Genomic DNA, 20,925 nt, shown 5'->3' with positions numbered 1-20,925 from the left:
AGGAGATGGGGAAAAAGCAAAAGCATGGGGGAAGGGAGAGAGAATATTTCAAACTGACTTCAAGAGGCTTTGTGGTGTGGATGTTAAGAAATCACAGATTAGAGGGTTCTAAAAGAATCTCTACCATCTGTCTTCAGAGTCTCAATTTTGCCCCTGTAAAATGGGCAGTAACAAACTTGCCCTTCACGCTAAACTTTGCCATGAAGAAGGATTTAGGCATGATCTCAAGAATGTGGTGCATTCCTTCCCAAGAATGTCACGAGTCTTGGTGAGTTGTTTTGCAAGATTTGGGACAGCTTAATACTGAGATGGAGAAATAGTTAATTTGCCAGACTTCCAGGAAGGCTGTGGAAGGCAGAGCAGCCTCACAGGGCTCTTGATTCGAGAGGCAATTGGAACAGGGCTAACTGGACCATCCCTCCCAGTGGGGCTGCATGTTTAGGTCAAGGTCTCTTGGCAGGAGCAGCAGGTTTGAATGAAAGCAGGGCTTGAGGGAGTGCACTAGAACAGCAGTATGCAGTCTTTGGTCCCTTAAAAATTATGGAAGACCCTGGCCGGGTGCAGTGGCTCATACCTCTAATCCCAGCACTTTGGGAGGCCAAGGCGGGCGGATAACGAGGTCAAGAGATCGAGATCATCCTGGCCAACATGATGAAACCCCGTATTTACTAAAATACAAAAATTAGCTGGGCATGGCGGCGAGCGCCTGTAGTCCCAGCTACTTGGGAGGCTGAGGCAGGAGAATTGCTTGTACCTGGGAGGCAGAGGTTGCAGCGAGCCGAGATTGCACCACTGCACTCCAGCCTGGCAATAGAGCAAGACTCCGTCTCAAAAAAAAAATTGTGGAAGACTCCAAAAACTTTTATGTTTTTTTAAACCCATTGGTTTTAAAAAAATATATTGGTAATTCAAACTGAGGACATTTTAAGATACCAGAATGCGCAAGCACACATTTCATTGGCCCTCCAATCAGTGACATCATCAGGCATCAGGTAGATGCTGGAGAACTTCTCTGTGCACTTGACAGAGCATGAGAGTGGAAAATGCAAACCACATTTGGCGTGGTTATGAAAACAGTTTAGATCTCTCAGACACCTGTGTACTCCCTGGCCCACCCTGTGAGAACCTCTGAACTACAGACGTGGCAGAATGTTACACCAGATGGAAATCCTGCTGTAACTCTTCAAGACCTCAGACAAGGCGGTGACCTCATGTGATCACAACTGCGATTGGATTTCTTGAGCTATGTGTACCAGTTAATGTGCAAACAAGTCAGAATGATTCACTCAGCCAGAGGCACAAAACTAGAGGGCTCCAGAGAGAAGTACAGTCAGGAATTTGGGGAAATCACAGAAAGGGCCCTGGATCCACGTGAGGTATGAAATTTGAGGATTTGGATCCACTTCGTCTAAATCTGCCAGAAGCAGAAATGCCCTGTGTATCATCTAGGTTCAAACTTGTTGCTGTAAGTTCAAAAATATAACTCTTCCCAAAGGCCTTGAGCCTATAGCAGCATCTGCACTCCCCTTATGAGGTCAGCGTCTGTGCTCAGCCCTACCAGCCCCCTCCCCTTTCCCAGTGCTAGAGAAAACATAAAGCCACTGCAATCAAAATGAAATGTCAAATTTTTAAAAACCCGAGGAACAGCTGTAATTTGCAAGGAGACAGAATGCAATTAGCATACACTTGTCAGAACGGGAGATGGCTCTGTGAGCCCTTTATTGCCTTAGTTTTATTAAGACTGGACTGATTATTACAGTTTCATTTGCTGTTTGCCCCATTAATGGCCAAAGCAGAACAATAAACAGGAAGGCAGTGGAGAGCGTTTAGGAGCAGCATGCCATGCCCTTGAGGGTCTTCATGGAGGTGAGAGAGGAACCAGGTACCTGCGTGTGATTTTGTTTGGAGAAAGGGGAAATGAGGGCCTCAGCAAGGATCCTTCAACCTCTAGTCTACCAGCACTTTTTGTAACTTTTGCTTCCTGGATCGCAGTGCTTTGGGATAGAGGCCAAGAAAATCAGGGCAGAAAGTAAACAATCACAGTGTTAACCTGGTAATCTAGATGAGGCCCTGTGGGGAGATGGGAAATTAGAGTTCCCTAGGCATGTCCCAGGGTGGTCTTTAAATTATTCTGCCGGGGCACTATTCTCTGCTAGGGGACATTTGTCTGCAATCGCTGCTGCCTGCTGGGCCTCTACCCCTGCTCTTACCTGACCTTGCACTGGGGGTTGTTCCCTGAACCCCAGTCCTGCTCTGATTGCCACTGCAGGAGTTTCTGCAGCCCTTGAATCAGACTCAGCCTCCCTGGGTGGGAGGCAGTGGGGTTGCCCCCCAGTCTGTCATCTGTGCTCACAGTCCTGCTGGAGTCTCTTCCGTGGGCTCCATTAAAGGACATGGAGCCTGCTCATTGAGTGAGCGCAACCTGAAGATACGACCGAAGAACAGTTTTATTTTTGCTCCCATTCTTCTTTTAAAATTTATTCAGTGAGGCCCATTTTTTCCCTTGCCTGAGGATGAAATGTCTGTGTCAGGCAGGCCCCATAATTTTCTCCCGGCTTTAAGGTAATAAAAAGATCTCTGGTCACTTTAAACCGCAAATAGTCTCAATTCAGTAATTAAAATGGTCTATTCCTAGATAATAAAAATTCTGGACTTGTTTTAATGCCAGCTAAAGGGGTCCTTTACAGTGGAGAAGCAGCGGGGTCTTTGGCTTCCCAGCCCAGTGTTTCTCCTTCTCTGCCAGCTGACCTGGGAGTTTCCGAGGTTTCTGACCCTTTCAGGGTTTGACTGGTAGAAGGTGGGGTAGGAGGAAGAGGGAGTGTCTCCAGGAAGCAGACATAGGTCTGTAGGCTGAGGCTTCCTCTCTGGACACCTTCTTCCAGCCTCATGAAGACCCCTTAACCTCCAGTTTTGCAGCACTATCTGCCACACAGCAGAATCAACTCACTGGAATATCTTTGCCCAGGTTCAGATTGCTTCTTAGAAAATCTGGGTGGCTGCAGGACAGTGCACTGTCCTTGCTGAGAAAGTGGGGCTCAGTTTGTCCTGCTGAGGTAGGGATTCCCATCTCTGCCTACATTGTTCTGTCTGTTTTGCTTTCTCAGGCTGACAGGCACTGCCTCTCACTTGAGATTCCACAGTAGTTTGTGTGGGAGTCAGACATCAGTTTAAGTGTTCCCACCACTCCAGGGGCCACATTGTGGGGCCTCTATGGGTCCCATTAATGGTACTTCTATAGCTGCAGGTGAAGGAGGTAATATAGACCACCATCACTGGCTTTTTGTTTTTCAACTCTAGTCACTCTTTAACTCTCTCTTGCATATTTTCATCTTGATCAGAGGTCCTGCTGAGAGGTCTAAGGATTGTGAAATTTGTTCTCAGCCTCTTCACTTTGGTAGGCAGCATCAATTATGTTGAAATTGCCTTTTTAACATCCTGTAATGACACTCATTGGATGCCCAGTGGCTGCACTCTCTCCTTCTGGGAATGGTGCTTGGGCAGGTTTGGGAAGCTGCTCTACCTCCCTCCTCAGCCATGTGGCTTGACAGAGAGGTGGCCCCATCCCAGCTCCAGCAGTGGGTCCTGATGGGTGTAGGCCAATCAGCATATTCTCTCCCTCTAACCACAGGGATTGACTCAGCCATGGGCACCTCCTATGGCTTGAATGTGTTCCCTCAGAAGCATGTGTTGGAAATTTACTCCCCATTGCAACAGTATTGGGAGGTAAGGCCTAATGGGAGGTATTAAGGTAATAAGGGCTCTACTCTCATGAATGGATTAATGCTGATTACAAACTATAAAAGGGCTTGAGATTGAGAGTTCAATCTCTTGTTCTCTTGACCTCTCTTTGCTTTTCTGCCATAGGACGATGCAGCAGCAAGGGCTTTGCCAGATGCTGGCCCCTCAGTCTTGGACTTCCCAGCCCCTAGAATCATGAGACAATACATTTCTATTCATTATAAATTATCTAGCCTCAGGTATTATGTTATAGCAGCACAAGGTGGATCTAGGCAAAAAATTGGTACTGGAGAAGTTGGTGTTGCTATGATAAATACCTGAAAATGTGAACATGGCTTTGGAGCTGGGTAATGGGCAGAGGCTGGGAGAGTTTGGAGGAGCAGGCTAGAAAAACCCTGTATTGCAGTGAATGGAGCATTAAAGGGGATTCTGGTAAGGACTCAGAAAAAAGAAGAACTGGAAGAAAAATCTGGAACTTCTTAGAGATTACTTAAGTGGCTATGATCAGAATGTTGGTAGAAATATGAACAGCAAAGGCCATTCCGATGAGGTCTCAGATGGAAAAGAGGAATATCGTATTGGAAACTGGAGTAAAGGCCTTCCTTGTTATGAAGTGGCAAAGAACTTGGTTGAATTGTGTCTATGCCCCAGGGCTTTATGGAGGGCAGAATTTAAGAGCGATGAACTAGAGTATCTGGTGGAAAAAATTTCTAAGCAAAATATTTAAGAAGCTGCATGGCTTCTTTTAACTGCATGCAATAAAATGAGAGAGATGATTTAAAGAGAGAATTTATAATTAAAAGGAAACAGAACTTAGGGATTTGAAGGATGCTCAGTTTGGTCATGTGATAGAGAATGAAAGAGCATTTTCAGGAGAGAAAACCAACGCTGTGGCCAAGCCACTGACTGATAACAAGATTAGTATGCATAAAATGAAGCCAGAGGCTATTCTTCAAGACAATGGAAGAACAAACCATAAGGTACTTTGTAGATTACTAGTGCTGTTCTTCCTACCAGAGGCCCAGAATGCCAAAGTCAAATGACTTCTGGTGGTAGCAGAGAAATAAGCTATACCTTATAGCCTAGGTGTGTAGTAACTGGACCATCTCGGTCTGTGCAAGTACACTCTATGATGTTCACACAATGACAAAATTGCCTAATAAAATATTTCTCAGAACTTAGCCCTGAATTAAGTGATGTATGACTGTATGCCAAAAAAGAGGCCTAGGGCACCCTGGGGACCTTGAGGCTCACTGTCCAGAGCTGCCTCAAGTCTCTGCTCCTGAAATTTTGGCAAAATGCTCCCAGGTCACTCCAGGTGTGGCTCAAGGGGGGTCAGGTGTGGCTCAGGCCACAGTTTCAGATGAAGCAAACAGCAAATCTTGGGTAGCATCCATGTGGTGTTAAGTCTGCAGGTGTGCAAATGCAAAAGCTGTGGAGCACAGTTTCTTCCATGTAGGTTTCAAAGGATATCTCAGGCAGCCTGGATGCTCAGGCAGAGACTCATCCCAGGGGTGGAGTCACTGCAGGGAGTCCCATGAGGGCAATGCTTAGTGGAGTCATGAGGATGGGATCACCCCCAAAACTCCAGAACTGTAGAGCTACCAGCATGCAACACCAGCCTGGGAGAGTGGCAGATACCTGACTTTAGCCAGTAAGAGCTGCTATATGGGCTGAGCTTGGTAAAGCTATAGGGGCAGGGCTGTTGGAGTCCTTGTGGACTCAACCCCCATGTCAGTGTGCCCAGAGGTGGAACATGGAATCAAGGAAGATTATTCTGGAGCCCCAAGATTTAATGTTATTTGTCTTTTGGGGTTTTGGACTTACTTGGGACTAGTTGTCCTTGTCTTCTTGCCTATTTCCCCCTTTTGGAGTGGGAATGTCTATTCTATGCTTGTCTCACCATTATTTTGGAAGTAGGTAACTCTCTTGGTTTCACAGGCTCACAGTTGGAAGGAAATTTGCCTTAGTATGAATCCTGCCTTGAGTCTTACCTGTATCTGATTTAGATAAGACTCTGACTTTGGACTTTTGAGTTGATGTTGGAATGAGTTAAGACTTCTGGGGCTATGAGATGGAATGAATATATTTTATATGTAAGAAGGACATAAATCTTGGGGGCCAGATGTGAAATGATATGGTTTGAATGTATCCCCCAAAAGCATATATTGGAAACTTAATCCTCAATGTAACAGTATTGGGAGGTGGGGCCTAATGGGAGGCGTTTAGGTCATGAGGGCTCCACATTCATAAATAGATTAATGCTAGTTATGAATTATAAAAGAGGATAACGCTGCAAGTTCAATCTCTTGTTCTCTCTTGTTCTCTCTTTGCCCTTCTGCCATGGAGGATGCAGCAGCAAGGCCCTTGCCAGATGCTGACCCCTCACTTTTGGACTTCCCAGGCTCCAGAACCATGAGCCAATAAATTTCTATTCATTATAAATTACCCAGTCTCAGGTATTATGTTATGGCAGCACAAAGTGGACTAGGACAGCACCCAAACAATCAGCACAGAGAGAGGCGAGGAAACATGCTGAGGATTTTGCGTGGGAAGATGCAGTCTCTGTTCTGTGGGAATGACCAAAAAAAGACCACTTCTCTTCCCCTAGGCAGTCAGGTCTAGGGGAGACTGTGAGGTCTGCAATTTTGATGGCCATTTTACTGACACAAGGGGAGAGTGTGGAGCTACCAGGGTCCACCATGTGTACCCTGAAGATGAGCCAAGACCACAGCCTTCTGTGGTCTTGGCTTATCTGTGCCTTGATCATGAGAAATCAGGTCCTGGTGACATCAATTGAGTCACCAGGTCAGGTCTCCTAAAGCTAGTTTTCAACTGGGGGGGATTTTGCTCCTTCTCCCCAAGGGGACATTTAACAATATCTGGAGGCATTTTTGATTGTCATAACTTGGGAGGTGGGGGAGGTGCTACTGACATCTAGTGGGTAGAGATCAGGGATGCTGCCAAATATCCTACAGTACACAGGACAGCTCCCAAAACAAAGAATCATCCAGCCCAAAATGTCAGTAGCAATGAGGTTAAAAAACCATGCTCTAACACCAAAACTGTATCTGGACTTTTCAATCATATGAGCCAATGTGTTTATTTTATTTGTTTTAATATGCAGTTGGTTTTCCTACGATTTGCAGTTGAAAGAATCCTGACTGACAGTTCCTAAAACAGGACACCTTCTCATTCCCAAGTTCCCTCCTCAGAGCCTCACCTAAGGCCTGCAGGCCCCTCCCAGGAATCACCGTTCTTGACATAGTCACTGTTTCTGCCTCCTTGGTAGACACTTTTCAGAAATAGTGTCCTCCACTCCAGGAATCCCCATGAAAAATCCCATCTTCTCAAGTCTTAAAGATACTTGGATGAAAGCATTTACAATTTTGCCCAAAAATTTCAAGATCACAATTTAAAAATTTTAGTATGAACTATTTCAGACCTACAGAATAAGTGCTCACCATCCTGCTTAAGAAATACATCCCTTTTCCTAATAGCACTTTCCTTTCCCTCCTCAAGAGAAAACAGTTTCCTAAATTTGGTGCTTATCTTCTCATGCTTATTTTTTGTATAGTATCTTCTCTTCATATATTCCTAAATACTATATTTCTTTGAATCTTTTATATACACTTATATAAATGATATCATGTGGTATGTATTCTCATGACTTGTTTTCTTTGTAATGTGTCTTAGAATCCACCAGACTGCTTTAGGTAGCTTTGGGTTCTTCTGGTCTATGTGATGTTTCCTTATGTGAATTTAGATATCCATCCTCGTGGTGAAGCTCAGCCCAATTTTTCCACAAGTAAAAAGATGCCTCTGTGGAGATTCATGAGCCTGTGTCCTAGAGCACATGTACACAAGCTTCTATTGCATTCACCTAGAAGTGAATGTTGAGTTGTAGTGTGTGTGCACTTTCACATCCTACTAGCTGTTGCCAAATTGGTCTCGAAGGTCACCTGAAATTTACTCATGCTATATATGTTGTAAAGATATCTTAGAGGACACAAATATTGTTCTTGGCCCTCATCCATCTCAGTCACTCCTGAGATTTTTTGGATCTTTGTGTGCAAATACTATGTGAATAAGTACAATAGAAAGAATAATGGCCTTCCCAAAGATATCCACTCCTAATCTCTGGAACCTAGGAATACATTAAATTCCATGGCAAAGGGACTTTGTAGATGTGATTAAATTAAGGATCTTGAGATGGGAACATTATCCTGGATTACCCTGGGCCCAATGTAATCACAAGGTCCTTATAAGAGAGAGGCAGAGGGGTCAGAGTCAGAGAAGTCAATGTGATGAAGGCAGCAGAGATCAGAGTGAAATGAAAAGTGGCACACGAGCCAAGGGATGCAGGAGGCTCTCCAGAAGCTGGAAAAGGTAAGGAAATAGATTGTCCCCTTAGAGGTTTTAGAATGAATGCAGCCTGTTAACCCACTTTGTGATCTTGATCTCCAGAAGTGTAAGATATTAAATGTATGTTGTTTCAAGTTTGTGGTAATTTGTTACAGCAGCAAGAGGAAACATGCAAGAAGCAAGGCCAACTCAGAGCAAAAATTCAGAAGGCAAAGCTGGTCTCTGGTGTGCCCACATGCCCAGTACCATGACTGACAAGTTGGCTGTCTTAGTCTGTTTGGGCTGCACTAACAATACCATAAACTGAGTGGCTTATAATAAACAGAAATGTATTTCTCATAATACTAGAGGCTGGGAAGTCCAAGATCAAGGTGCCAGCAGCAAGGTGCCTCTGTGTCTGGTGAGGATTCACTTTCTCATAGATAGTGCTGTGCCCTCCTTACATGGGAAGGAATAAGGAAGCTCACTGGGGCCTCATTTATAAGGACACTAGTCCCATCTATGAGACCTAATCACCTTCCAAAGGCCCCATCTCCTAATAACATCATCATCTTGGGGGTTAGGATTTCCATATATATATATATATATATATATATATATGGGGAGAAATATAAACATTCAGACCATGGCATGGGCATTTAACAAAGGTTTAGCCCCTTCTCTTTTCCTCCCTGTTCAATCAATCCCAAGTGCTGACCCCTCAGGCCACCCTGAAGGTCCTAGTAAAGAGGAAATCTCCTAATACAGGTTTTAATATTAGAACATCTAGGAGATCCCTTAGAAGCTCCAACAAAAGAAAATCACATTCTTATGTTAGGCACTGCCCGAGGTGCCTTCACATGGTATCTCATTTGAGCCTCACAGAAACCCAAGGAGGTAATAATAATAATATCAACAATCATAAATACTTATTATTGAGACGTGTTTTTGATTCTAGGCTCCATGCAAGGGATCAGTTGAACTGTGCAGCTAGGCATGGTCATCTCATTTTTATTGATGAAGAAATCAAGTGAGGCTAAGTGATTTTTCCAAGACTCCAAAGCTAGTATGTCATGGAGCAAGGGTTTGTAACGCAAGTCCATGTGATCTCAAAGTTTCTGCTTCTTCTATGGCAATTTCCTCAGAAAATAGTTGTAAAGAGAGTTCCAGCCAATCCTTCCCTTCATAGCACACAACCATAGTTCTTTTCCTCCCTCCTGTCAATACCCTATGTCCATAGTGAATCCCACCTCCTCAATGCCAGAGATACCTGTATTCTGCATTTAGTGACTGCAGAGAATTGGGCAATTCTTCCCCAGTTCCAATTCCTCTGCAAACATTTCTTCCTCCATCTGCTGATGATAATCTTCTGGCTTGCCCCCTGTCCTATCAGAGGCAACCGTCAGAGGGCGTCTGCAAGGAAACTGTGATGAGTTGCTACCAGCACGTTCCCGAGTATGCCTGTGTGTGTGTCTGTGTGCTTATACATGCACACAGGTGACTACTAGACTGCTGTATAAGTCCCTTTAGGATGGCTGGATTAGCCCAAAGGTCTCAAGCCTAGAGGCCACTGTAATCTTTGATCTATTTATGAAGCTTGGAGATAGGAGTAGGGCTGTGCATGAATGAGGAGGCTTCAGTGGCCACTTTCCTGGCAATGTCAGTTTTATGGGCCTGAAAAATATCCCATCTCTGCTTAGAAAGTTGCTTAAATGAAAACTCAGTTTGCCAAGTTGCAGGTAGTTGTGATCACATGACTAGGCATAGGGCAATAAAATGTGAGCAGAAGTGATATGTATAACTTCAGGGTCATTTCCAACAGAAGACAAGCCAACTTTCCTGGATGTGGCTCTATTTTACCCTTCCTGAAACTGAGGTTTCTGACTGACTTCATGAAGCGAAGCTGCCCATCATCTAGGCTGTCTGGATTGTTACACCAGTGGGAAATAAACTTCTACTTTATGTAAGCCACTCTGTTGCGGGGTATTTTTGTTACGGCAGTTGAGCAGTTTTACCCTAATTAATGTAACTGCATTCTACGAAGCATCAAGAGAGCAATTACCCAGGCTTTATATGTGCAGAAAGGATGACATCATTTTGGGCATATGCCTTGTTTTTTTTTTTCTTTTTTTTGACCAGATGGATTACAAACTGGATCATCCACCCCCATCTCTACTTCACTTTTGACTATGCAGTGGAATTGCATCTTAAATTGGGGTTTGTTTCTATAGTTAGGGCGCATAAGGTAAGAACCGTTAATATTAAAAATATTCTTATGGACTCTCAATAAATCCAGTGCAGCCAGCATTTTCTCTAGCTTTGAAAGATGTCTGTTTCTTTGGTCATGCTCTTGTTAAGGATTGCCATTAAGGACCTTATTCTATTAAAAATATGTTTTAAGACATGCTTATTTCTTTCCACTCTCCTTCAACTTTTTCTTCTTGTCTCTTGGATATAATTGGATTCACCTAGGTTTAACATGTGTATGAAGCAATTCAGTATAAAGACTGGTGGTCAACAGCTTGGCTGCCAGGAAAGAAGGGGACTCTGAATGCTGGAGGCCAGAGAGCTCCCAATCCATCTGGTTTGCTTCAGGTGCAGTCTTGCCTTAGGTTAGGGAGTTGGACACCATGATTTAATGAGATTGCTTTGAGCAAAGGCAAGAAGCCCCCAGAGTGGCAGAGGATGCAGTTGCTTGCATAGGTAATTATTTCTGTCTCTCTTCCCATCCTCTCCAACATCCACCTTAAGTATATACTGATTTATACCTAAAAATCTTCTTACTCTGGTTTAATGCTTTAAGAATTGTTTCAACACAAATCCTTGCAGTATTTTCCATTATTCATCATTTATATATCATTTTTGCAAACTCAGATTATTTATTAAATGTTCACTTTGGGCATTTGGTAAAGACAAAAGTACCCATACTCTCATCACCCTGCCTCAACAACTATCTTCATTTTAGCAGAATCCCTTTTAGTTTTTGTTCAAATGAATATATTTTTCCTTATTTGTAATTATACCAAACATACCTTTTTATTTCAAATTTTATTGCTGAATTCTTTCCATGTAGTTACACCTTTGTAATTATAATTTTAAGAGTTCCATAAAAGCCTATTGAATTTATGTATTATATTTTACTCTGCAGTTGGCAGAGTTCACAATGGAGAGAATAATTATCTACTTCTCTGAGTTGTTAAGGGGATTATAAAGGTATGTGGTGCTTAGCTCAGTACCTAACATACTACAGGATTGGTAGAGAGCATGGTTTTTGGACATAGACTTCCTGGCTTGGAATTCCGGCTTCACCTCTATCTAGCTATATTTCGGAAGTTACTTACCCTCTGTGTGCCAGTTTCCTCAGCTATAAAATGGGGATGATAGTAATTCCTAAACCATAGATTTGTCATGAGAATTAAATAAGTTAAGTCCTACATGTGTCATTGTCATTGTCATCATCCTTATTTTTATTCCTCTCCGATACACTGGGTCATTGCCAAAGTCTGAGAATCAATCCTTTGAAGTAATTAAATTTCGTGTCTTATTGCTTTATCTAAAATTCCCACAATAATAAATTATTAAAAGCTTATCTGGCATATTTGTTCTGTTGCTTATTTTAAAGTTGATACGTTTTTATAATTGTCATTAATTGGGTTTTTGTGTACAATGGGTATTATTTTTTATACAAAAGTGGACATTTCTGTCCCTTTTTAAAAATTCTTGACATAAGGAATAGATGTTAGATTGTATTAAATACTTTGTGTCACCCATTGAAATGATTATGTTGTTTCTTGCTTAACTATTGAAATGATGTGTGCATTATCTAATCATTTCTTTTGATTTCCTTTGGATTTTTGTTCCTGTTGTCCTTTTCCTGCTCTGCCTGTAATCTCTACACATAAGGTAAATGGTAGGTATCTTAGAGTTCTCCATAGAAAGAGAACAAATAGGGTATATAAGAGGAGATTTATTTTATTTTTATTTTTTATATATATATATTTTTATTATACTTTAAGTTCTATGGTACATGTGCACAACCTGCAGGTTTGTTACATATGTATACATGTGCCCTGTTGGTGTGCTGCACCCATTAACTCGTCATTTACATTAGGTATATCTCCTAATGCTATCCCTCCCCCCTCCCCCCACCCCACAACAGGCCCATTTAACATAAGAATTGGCTTATGTAATTTTGGAGGCCAGTAAATACCACAATCTGCTATTTGCAGTCTGGAAGGCCAGTGGTATTGTTCCAGTCCAAGCTCAAAGGCCTGAGAACTAGCGAGAACAAAGGAGGAGAAGGTGGATAACAGAGCTCAAGCAGAGAGCACATTTTCCCTTCCTCTGCCTTTTTGCTCTATTTGGGCTCTCAGTGGATTGGATGATGCCCACCACATTGATGAGGGTGATCTTCTTTATTCAAATGTGAATATCTTCCAGAAACAGCCTCACAGACACACCCAGAAATAATGTTTTACCAGCTATCTGGATATCCGTTAGTTCAGTCAAGTTGACACATCAAATTGACCATCCCAGCAGGAAAATTTAGACAAGGTTTATCTGGGCCTGGAGGTTATGTGAGTACTCCAGCCAGTGAATGGACAAGAACCAAGTGATGAAGTGAAAACTACTTCTATTAACTTCTAAACTGACAATAATAGATGGCTAGCAACAAGTATTAGTTAAAATAATTTAATGCATTTGAGTATTTATTTGCTTAATATTTGAAAATTAATCTTAGCATTTCTACAATGTGTAATGTTAAATAACTTACCTATTTTGAACTGAAAAGGATTTCTTGTATATGATTCTGTGACTGTTACATGAGCAGACATTTGACAGATCTACTTGTATCCTTGGAAACGAATATTTAGTCACAGACAACACTGCATGACTCAAAATTTTTTTCCGAACTCATTAAGTGTTTTATCTGGTAGGAATATGATAGTTAATTGTGTTTACAAGTAATGTGTGCATAAATAAGTAGAACAGGCAATATTAATAACTGTTAAGAGCTTTTAGAACAGCATATGTTATTACCAAGTATGGCTGATGTGAATAGATTTCTTCACTATAAACCACCTTTATTTTGCAGGAATAAATCATATATGTTCCTGGTACATTATTCCTTTAATGTAAGGCTGATTTTACTTATTGATATTTTATTTCAATATTTTCTATTTGTATTCAAATATTACGTTGGCATAGATTTTGCTTTGTGGCTATATCTTTATCAGATTTCAGACTCTGTATCATACTGACCTCATAGACTAATATAGTCACCCTAAAAATTTTTCTTGCTTTGGAATAGCTTATAGCACACAAAAATCATTCGTATGAGGAATAATTAGCAGCACATTTTTATGGCCTTTGTAAATAATCTTCAGGTTAAATCTAACACTGTTTTCCATTTTTTTCTTGCATCAGGTTTAGAATGCCATGTCTTTAAGGACATTTTTTTTCTACCTTATTGAGGTTTCAAATTATCTGACAATTCTGGATAATACTCTTTTATAATTTTTAAAATTATTTTATGTCAGTTGTTATATTAGCTTTCTGATTTTAATTTTGTTAATTTGAATTTGTTTTTGATTGGCTTTACTGGTTTAGGTTTTCTTATTTTGTCACTTATATTTTTCTTTCTTAGTTACTTAGGGTTTCTATTGCTGTTATCCTTGCCAATAGTGTCCCTTGTCCATGTAACTCTGGCCCCTTTCCTAGTCAGAGATAATTGGCTGACGCAGGCAAAGGTCTTCCAAAAGGTAGGATTCATTATTAGAGTCTTACTCACTCGAAGTGCAATTAAGAACCCCAAAGACGGCCGTGCACAGTGGCTCACGCCTGTAATCCCAGCACTTTGGGAGGCCAAGGAGGGTGGTTCACGAGGTCAGGAGATCAAGACCATCCTGGCTAACACGGTGAAACCCCGACTCTACTAAAAATACAAAAAATTAGCCGGGCGTGGTGGCGGGCGCCTGTAGTCCCAGCTACTCGGGAGGCTGAGGCAGGGGAATGGCGTGAACCTGGGAGGCGGAGCTTGCAGTGAGCTGAGATCGCGCCACTGCACTCCAGCCTGGGCGACAGAGCAAGACTCTGTCTCAAAAAAAAAAAAAAAAAAGAAAAGAAAATAAATAATAATAATAATAAAAAGAACCCCAAAGACTGTGATGTTAACTGTAAGGAGCCAATAAGCAAAGTCAGAGTGTATATGGACCAATATTGCCACCAGCAAAGCCCCATGCAAGCTGAAATCAAGGGAAAGAAGGATATCAGCTTGAGGTGTGAAAACTGATAGAAAGAAAGACACGTGTGTGGAGAAAAGCATGAACCAAGAGCCATGTAATCCTGGGGAGATGAAGGTGGACAGTCGAGCCACGTTTTATCCCTCTGGTTTCCATGAGGTCTGACTATGCTTCCCTACCACGTACTTCCATGAGGATACCTTTCTATTTTTATATAACTCTTATCTTACCCTTGGGCTAGAGTTCCTGTTTAATGCTATCAGGCATGTCTTAAGATATTTTCTTATGTTTTTAAACTTAATGCTCACTTCATTTACTTGATTTTTAAATAATTGAATAATTTAAAGTAACTAAGAGGCTGAAGTGGATGACAATTTATTATTTCTCTCATTAATTACTCAAATCATGCAGACCCTCTGATTCTTTAACAATCTTTGCTTCGTCCATTTTTTACCTATTCTTAGCACCCAACACGAGGACACAATTTATTCTCAATGGTTGTCTTAATGGTTTCCCAAGTAGATAAGATACCAGATTCTCATCTCATTCTTTCTCTGAATTACAAATACAAATTAGGTAAAAAAAAATCCATATTTCTGTGAATATATATCTATGTCTCCATAGAGAAAAAAAGATAGGAAGAAAATAGACCAAAGTCTTACCAGTGCTTATTCACAGTTTTTATTTTGTTTGTGCTTCTCTGTTTTCTGCAAACAATGAGAGCGTATTATTTTGTAATCAGATAAATGAAATTATATGAGACTAAAAAATGAACAATTAATTTCTGAGTCTGACTTTGCTGTAAAACAGAGGTTTTTACGTATAGTGTTTTTGTTTTCATTGATTTCCGCATTTGCTATTATTTGGCCCAAATGTAATTCTGCAGAGGATTTTTTTTTTAATTTACAAGCTTTAAACATGTTTTATCTATTTTAACTTATATTACTAATAGATCATTTTTTTTACCTGACCACTAGACTTGAGGGAAAATTGGGTCACAACCCTGGTTATTGGCTCTTCTGCATCTCCTCTCTTTACTGGTTCTGATCTGTCTTTTCTAGGCATAGGCAGAACATAAGTGCTTGACACGGGCAGATTTGTTCATTCATTGCTTTTAACAATTATTTGTGCGAGGCTTACAGCACACTGGTACTGCTCTAGGGTCTGAGGATGGGATACAGAAGTTAACAAGACAGACAAAACCCCTGTTTCTATGGAGTTGATATTCTAATGAGGAAGTAAGCAAGCAAATTAGTGTGCAATGTATAGAAATAAGAGCTACCCAGAAAAACAAGTTTACGTGGAATATGATAGGGATAGGGTTTTCAGGAAGGTGTATTTGCAGTGGCCATATTTACAATGCAATCTGAAAATATGGAAGAAATCACTCCAGGCAGCAGGGGCACTAGTGTGAAGGTCCTAATGTAGAACAAGTGTGGATATTGAGAAAGACAAGGAAGGTCGCCGTGGCTAGAGTTGAGTGGGCGAGAGAAAGTGAAGTAAGAGATGAGGCCGGAGAGGTGAGTACAGGGCAGTTCATGAACGTGCAGATCAGAGGAAGGGATGTGATTTTTAGGTTTGATGGGAACCCACTGGAGCATTTTAAGCAGGGAAGTAATGTGATTTGTTTTATATATTGAAAAGATAACTTGAGGACTTACATTCTGGGCAGATGGAATAAAAGTACTTTTCCCTATTCCTGCCACTAAGTACAACTAATAACCCTGGATGTTATACATAAAACAAATGTAAGAACACTCCTAAAGGTAGAGAGAAAGAAGCAGGCTGGATGAGGACCTTAGGACCTCACCAATGGTGAGTTTCTTATTGTTTCTGTAAATTTTAAATTTTTGCCTATATATCCCAGACTTGGAGCTGAAGAAGCCAGCAACTCAGAAAATGGCACTGATGAAAAAAAAAAAAAAAAGCCACAAACAAACAAAAAGCCCAAACAAAAACTTACTCTCTAGGCAAAGGACCAGGAAAGAGGCTGGCTAGCATGACAAAAAACGTTTAGACAATAACTGCTCTACTCTAGCCAAACACCACAAAAAAGCTGTGGGTCACCCACACCCATGCCAGCAAAAGCTAAGTAGGGAGCCTAGTCTTTTATCCTTTACTGTCTATAATGAAGACCACAACACCCTTGTGGGGGAAGTGTCAGAGAAAGCCAAGTAGGGAGCTGGGACTTTCATCATGACAGATGGTAACAAGCCCTTGACCCCCTGCAGTGTGAATGGAAACCAGCTGGATAACCTGTACATCCACCGCCACCTGGCACTAACTAGATGCCTTTCCCCTTTCCCATTGAAGTGGTTCAGACGAAGCCTAGTGGAGATACAGGACTTTCACCACTGCCCAGAAGTAAGAAGGCCACCACTTCCTCTTTGGTGTCAGTGGAGGTCACTTGGGGGACAGTAACAAGGCACCCCTACCCTTCTGAGCCAGGAAGGTATGAGTGGAGACCTAGTGGGGAGCCAGGACTCCCAATCTTTCAGTAGTAATGAGGGACACACCCTCATGGAGGCTGGATTGGGAACCTGAACTTCTATCCCCTCCTGGCAGTAACAAGGTGGCCCCAACCCCTTTTTCCTGGCAGCTAAGTGTCAGAAGAAGCCAGTTAAAAGAGATTTAAATAAGATTCATAGTACAATACCCAAAATGTTTCAAGAGAAAATTACTTGTCATACTCCAAACCAGGAAAAGTTCAAACTGAATAAAAAATGACAATCAATACATGCTAATACTGAAATGACAAGAGAGGTTAGAATCATCTGACAAAAATGTTAAAGCAGCCATCCTAAAAAATGCTCCAAAGAGTGATCATGTATGCACTTCAAGCAAGTGGAAAATAGAAATTCTCAACTAAGAAATGGAAGATATAAAGTAGAACCAAATTGTACTAAAACACAGAATAACTAAAATTAAAACTTACTAATGGGCTCAACAACAGAATGAAGTGGAGAAAAAGGAAGAAATCAGTGACCTGAAAGATGATAACAAAAATTACCCAATCTGAACAACAGAGAGAAAGCAGATTACAAATAAATAAGCAGAGCCTCAGGGACCTGTGCAACTATAATATTCATGTTGCAGGAATATTGGAAGGAGAGGTGAGAGAAAGTGAGAGTGAAAAAGTACTAAAAGAAATAATGGTTGAAAACTCCCCAAATTTGGCAGAAACAAAAAACATCAGACTCAAGAAGTTGCGCAAACCCCAAACAAAATAAACCCAGAGAATTTCACACTAAGACATCATAGTCAAAGTTCTAAAAACTAAAAGAAAAATATTGAAGACATTGAAGAGAAATGATACCTTATTTGTAAGAGAAAAAAATTCAAATGACTACAGGTTTCTCAGCAGAAACAAGGGAGGCCAGAAGAAAGTGGGATAGCATTTTTCAAGTGCTGAAGGAAAAGAACTGCCAACCCAGAATAGACAGTGAAACTGATTTTTAGGAATTCAAGAGAAATTAAGAAATATTCAGATGAAGAAAACTATGACAATATGTCACCAGCAGAAATGTCTTAAAATAATTGCTCAAGGAGGTTCTCTAAACGGAAAGGGACTGATAAAAGAAGGAAATTTGGAACATCCAGAAGGAAGCAAGAATGTAGTACAAAAAAATGGGCAAGTTCAATAGATTTTTCTTCTCTTCTTGAGTTTCTAAAATTACATTTGACAGTTGAAGCAAAAAATTATAACAGTGTCTGATGTGGCTTTCAATGTATATAGAAGAAATATCTAAGACAATGTATATTACAAATGAGAGAGGGTCAAGGGCCATAAAGGGAAGTAAGGCTCCTATATTTCACTTAAACTGATGAAATGATGACACCAGTAGAATATGGTGAGATATGTATACACAATGTAATACCTAGAGTGACAATTTAAAAACCTATACAAAGAGTGACACATAAATAAACAAAAACAACATAAAAATAAAAATATAATTCTAAAAATATTCAAGTAGCCAATTGGAAGGTGGAAAAAAGAAAAAGAACAAAAAATAGAACAGCACTAAACAAAAAATAAAATCGCAGACCTAGGCCCTGACATATCAATAATTATATTAAATGTAAATGGTCTAAATTTACCAATTAAAAGAGAAAACTGGCAGAGTGGATTAAAAAGTATGATCTAACTATGTGATGTCTACAAGAAACTCATTTCAAATATGACAATATAGGCAGGTTGAAGGGAAAAGAAATAGAAAATGATATATTATGCAAACATTAAAGCAAAGCAGGAGTGGTTATATTAATATCATATAGAGTAGATTCAGAGCAAATAAAATTACCAGAGCTGATAATGGACATTATATAATGATAAAAGAGTCAATACACTAAGGAGACATAACAAATCATAAATACATAGGCACAAAATAAGAGAACTATAAAGATATGTGAAGGAAAAGCTAATGTAACTGAAATGGAAAATAGACAAATTGATAATTATGGCTGGACCTTCAACACCCTTCTGTTAATAATTGATAGGACAACTAGACAGAAAATCAACAAGAATATAGAAGAACACAATAATATTATCAAACAATAGAATCTAATTATTGATAGAACACTCCATCCAACAACAGCACAATACACATTCTTTTAAAATGTCCACAGATAACAAGATACACCATATCCTGGGTCATAAAACAAACTTCAACAAATTTAAAACAATTGAAACCATACAGTGTGTTTTCCAACCATAATAGACTCAAGCTGTAAATCATTAACAGAAAGACAACAGAAAAATATCCAAACATTGGAAGCCAAACAATATACTACTAATAATTCATAGGTCAAAAGGGAAATCTCAAGGAAAAAAAATTGAAAACATTAAACTAAACAGAAATGAAAATACAGCATATAAAAATTTGTGGGTCACAGATAAAGCTGTGATGAGAGGAAGATTTATATCACTAAATGTACACATTAGAAAAGAGGGAACGTTTTAGATCAGTAATCTAAGTTCTTTCTTCAACAACCCAGGGGAGAATATGCAAAATGAACCCAAAGCAAGAAGGAAGAACATAATAAAGAACAGAAATTAATAAAGTCAAAAAGAAAAAAAGAATACAGAAAATCCATGGAAGAAAAGGCTTTTTTGGAAAATATCAATAAAATTGACAGACCACTAACAAAACTGATAAAGAAAGGAAGCCAAGACAGAGTACTAATATCAGGAACAAGAGAGGGAATGTCACTGTAGACTCCGCAGACATCAAAAGAAAAATAAAAACACTGTGAACAGTACTGTGAATATTATTCATAAACATTTGACAATTTAGATAAAATGGACCAATTTCTTGAAAAACATAAACTACCATAACTCACTCAAGATGAGATGGATAACTTGAATAGGCCTGTAGCTAAATAATTAATTCTAAAGCTGCCAAAAAATATTTCTAGGCCTAGATAATTTCATTGGAAATTTTGCCAAATATTCAAAGAATAATTCTTTAATTATGTTTACATTATAATTATAATTCTTTAATTATTTATATTATAACAATTATATTATATTATAATTATTATATTATAATTATTATGTTAATTATACTATAATATATTATATTATAATTATGTTAATATTTATATTATAATTATAATTCTTTCATTATTTTAATAATTCTTTAATAATTCAATAAATTCTACACAATTTCTTGCAGAAAACAAGAGATAACACTTTTCAATTCATTTCATGAAGCTGGTGTTACCTTGATACCAAAACTAGAGAAAAACATAAAAAAAGAAAACTGTGTTGGGGGTGGAGGCTCATTCCTGCAATCCCAGCACTTTGAGAGACCAGCATGGGAGTTTGAGACCATCCTGGACAACACAGTAAGAGTCTGTCTCTATAAATAATAATAATAATAAATAGCCAGATTTTTTAGGGAGGCTAAAGTGGGAGGATTGAGTCCAGGGGTTTGAGGCTGCAGTAAGGTCAAGATTGCACCATGGCACTCCAGCTGGGGCAACATAGGGAGACCCTGTCTCTAGAAAAAAAAATTAAAAAAAGAAAACCACAGACCAATATCCCTCATGAATATAGACACAAAAGTCTTTAATAAAATATTAGCAAATAGAATTCAACAGTATCAGAATTTTATAGTTTTGTTCATATAGATCTTGTACCTATTTTGTTAGATTTATTAAGTATTTAATGTGTGGAGGGGCTGCTGTAAATAATATTATTTTACATTTCAAATTCCAATTGCTTTTTGCTAGTATATATTAAAGTAATTTGACATTGTATATGAACCTTTTACGAAACCTTGCTATAATTGCTTATTAGTTCCAAGAGTTTTTGTTGTTGTTGTTGATTCTTTGGGATTGTCTACATAGACAATCATGCTGTCTGTGAACAAAGGCAGTTTTCTTTCTTCCTTCCCAATCTGTAAGCATGTTTTTCATTTTATTGTCTTATTTCATTAGCTAGGACTTTCAGTATGGTGTTGAATCAGGGTGGTAAGAGAGGAAATTCTTATTTTTTATCTTAAAGGCAAAGCATTTAGTTTCTCACCGTTAAGTACGTCGTTAACTCTAGGTTTTTTGCCGATGTTCTTTATCAAACTGAAGTTTCTTCTTATTCCTG

At 39.5% G+C, this 20,925-nt stretch overlaps 1 annotated feature.

The window, feature by feature from the left end:
• Nucleotides 12,085-12,681: an enhancer, noted in NCBI's record as "OCT4-NANOG hESC enhancer chr1:34861492-34862088 (GRCh37/hg19 assembly coordinates)". NCBI's record gives its function as "activates a minimal SCP1, AML or CMV promoter by ChIP-STARR-seq in naive and primed H9 embryonic stem cells {active_cell/tissue: H9 hESC(naive and primed)}" and the evidence as "EXISTENCE:reporter gene assay evidence [ECO:0000049][PMID:30033119]".

This window comes from Homo sapiens, chromosome 1 (genome assembly GCF_000001405.40).
Source record: "Homo sapiens chromosome 1, GRCh38.p14 Primary Assembly".
Taxonomy (NCBI): Eukaryota; Metazoa; Chordata; class Mammalia; order Primates; family Hominidae; genus Homo; species Homo sapiens.
The sequence above is the reverse complement of the archived record's forward strand: the minus strand, read 5'-3'. Positions and strand labels throughout refer to the sequence as shown.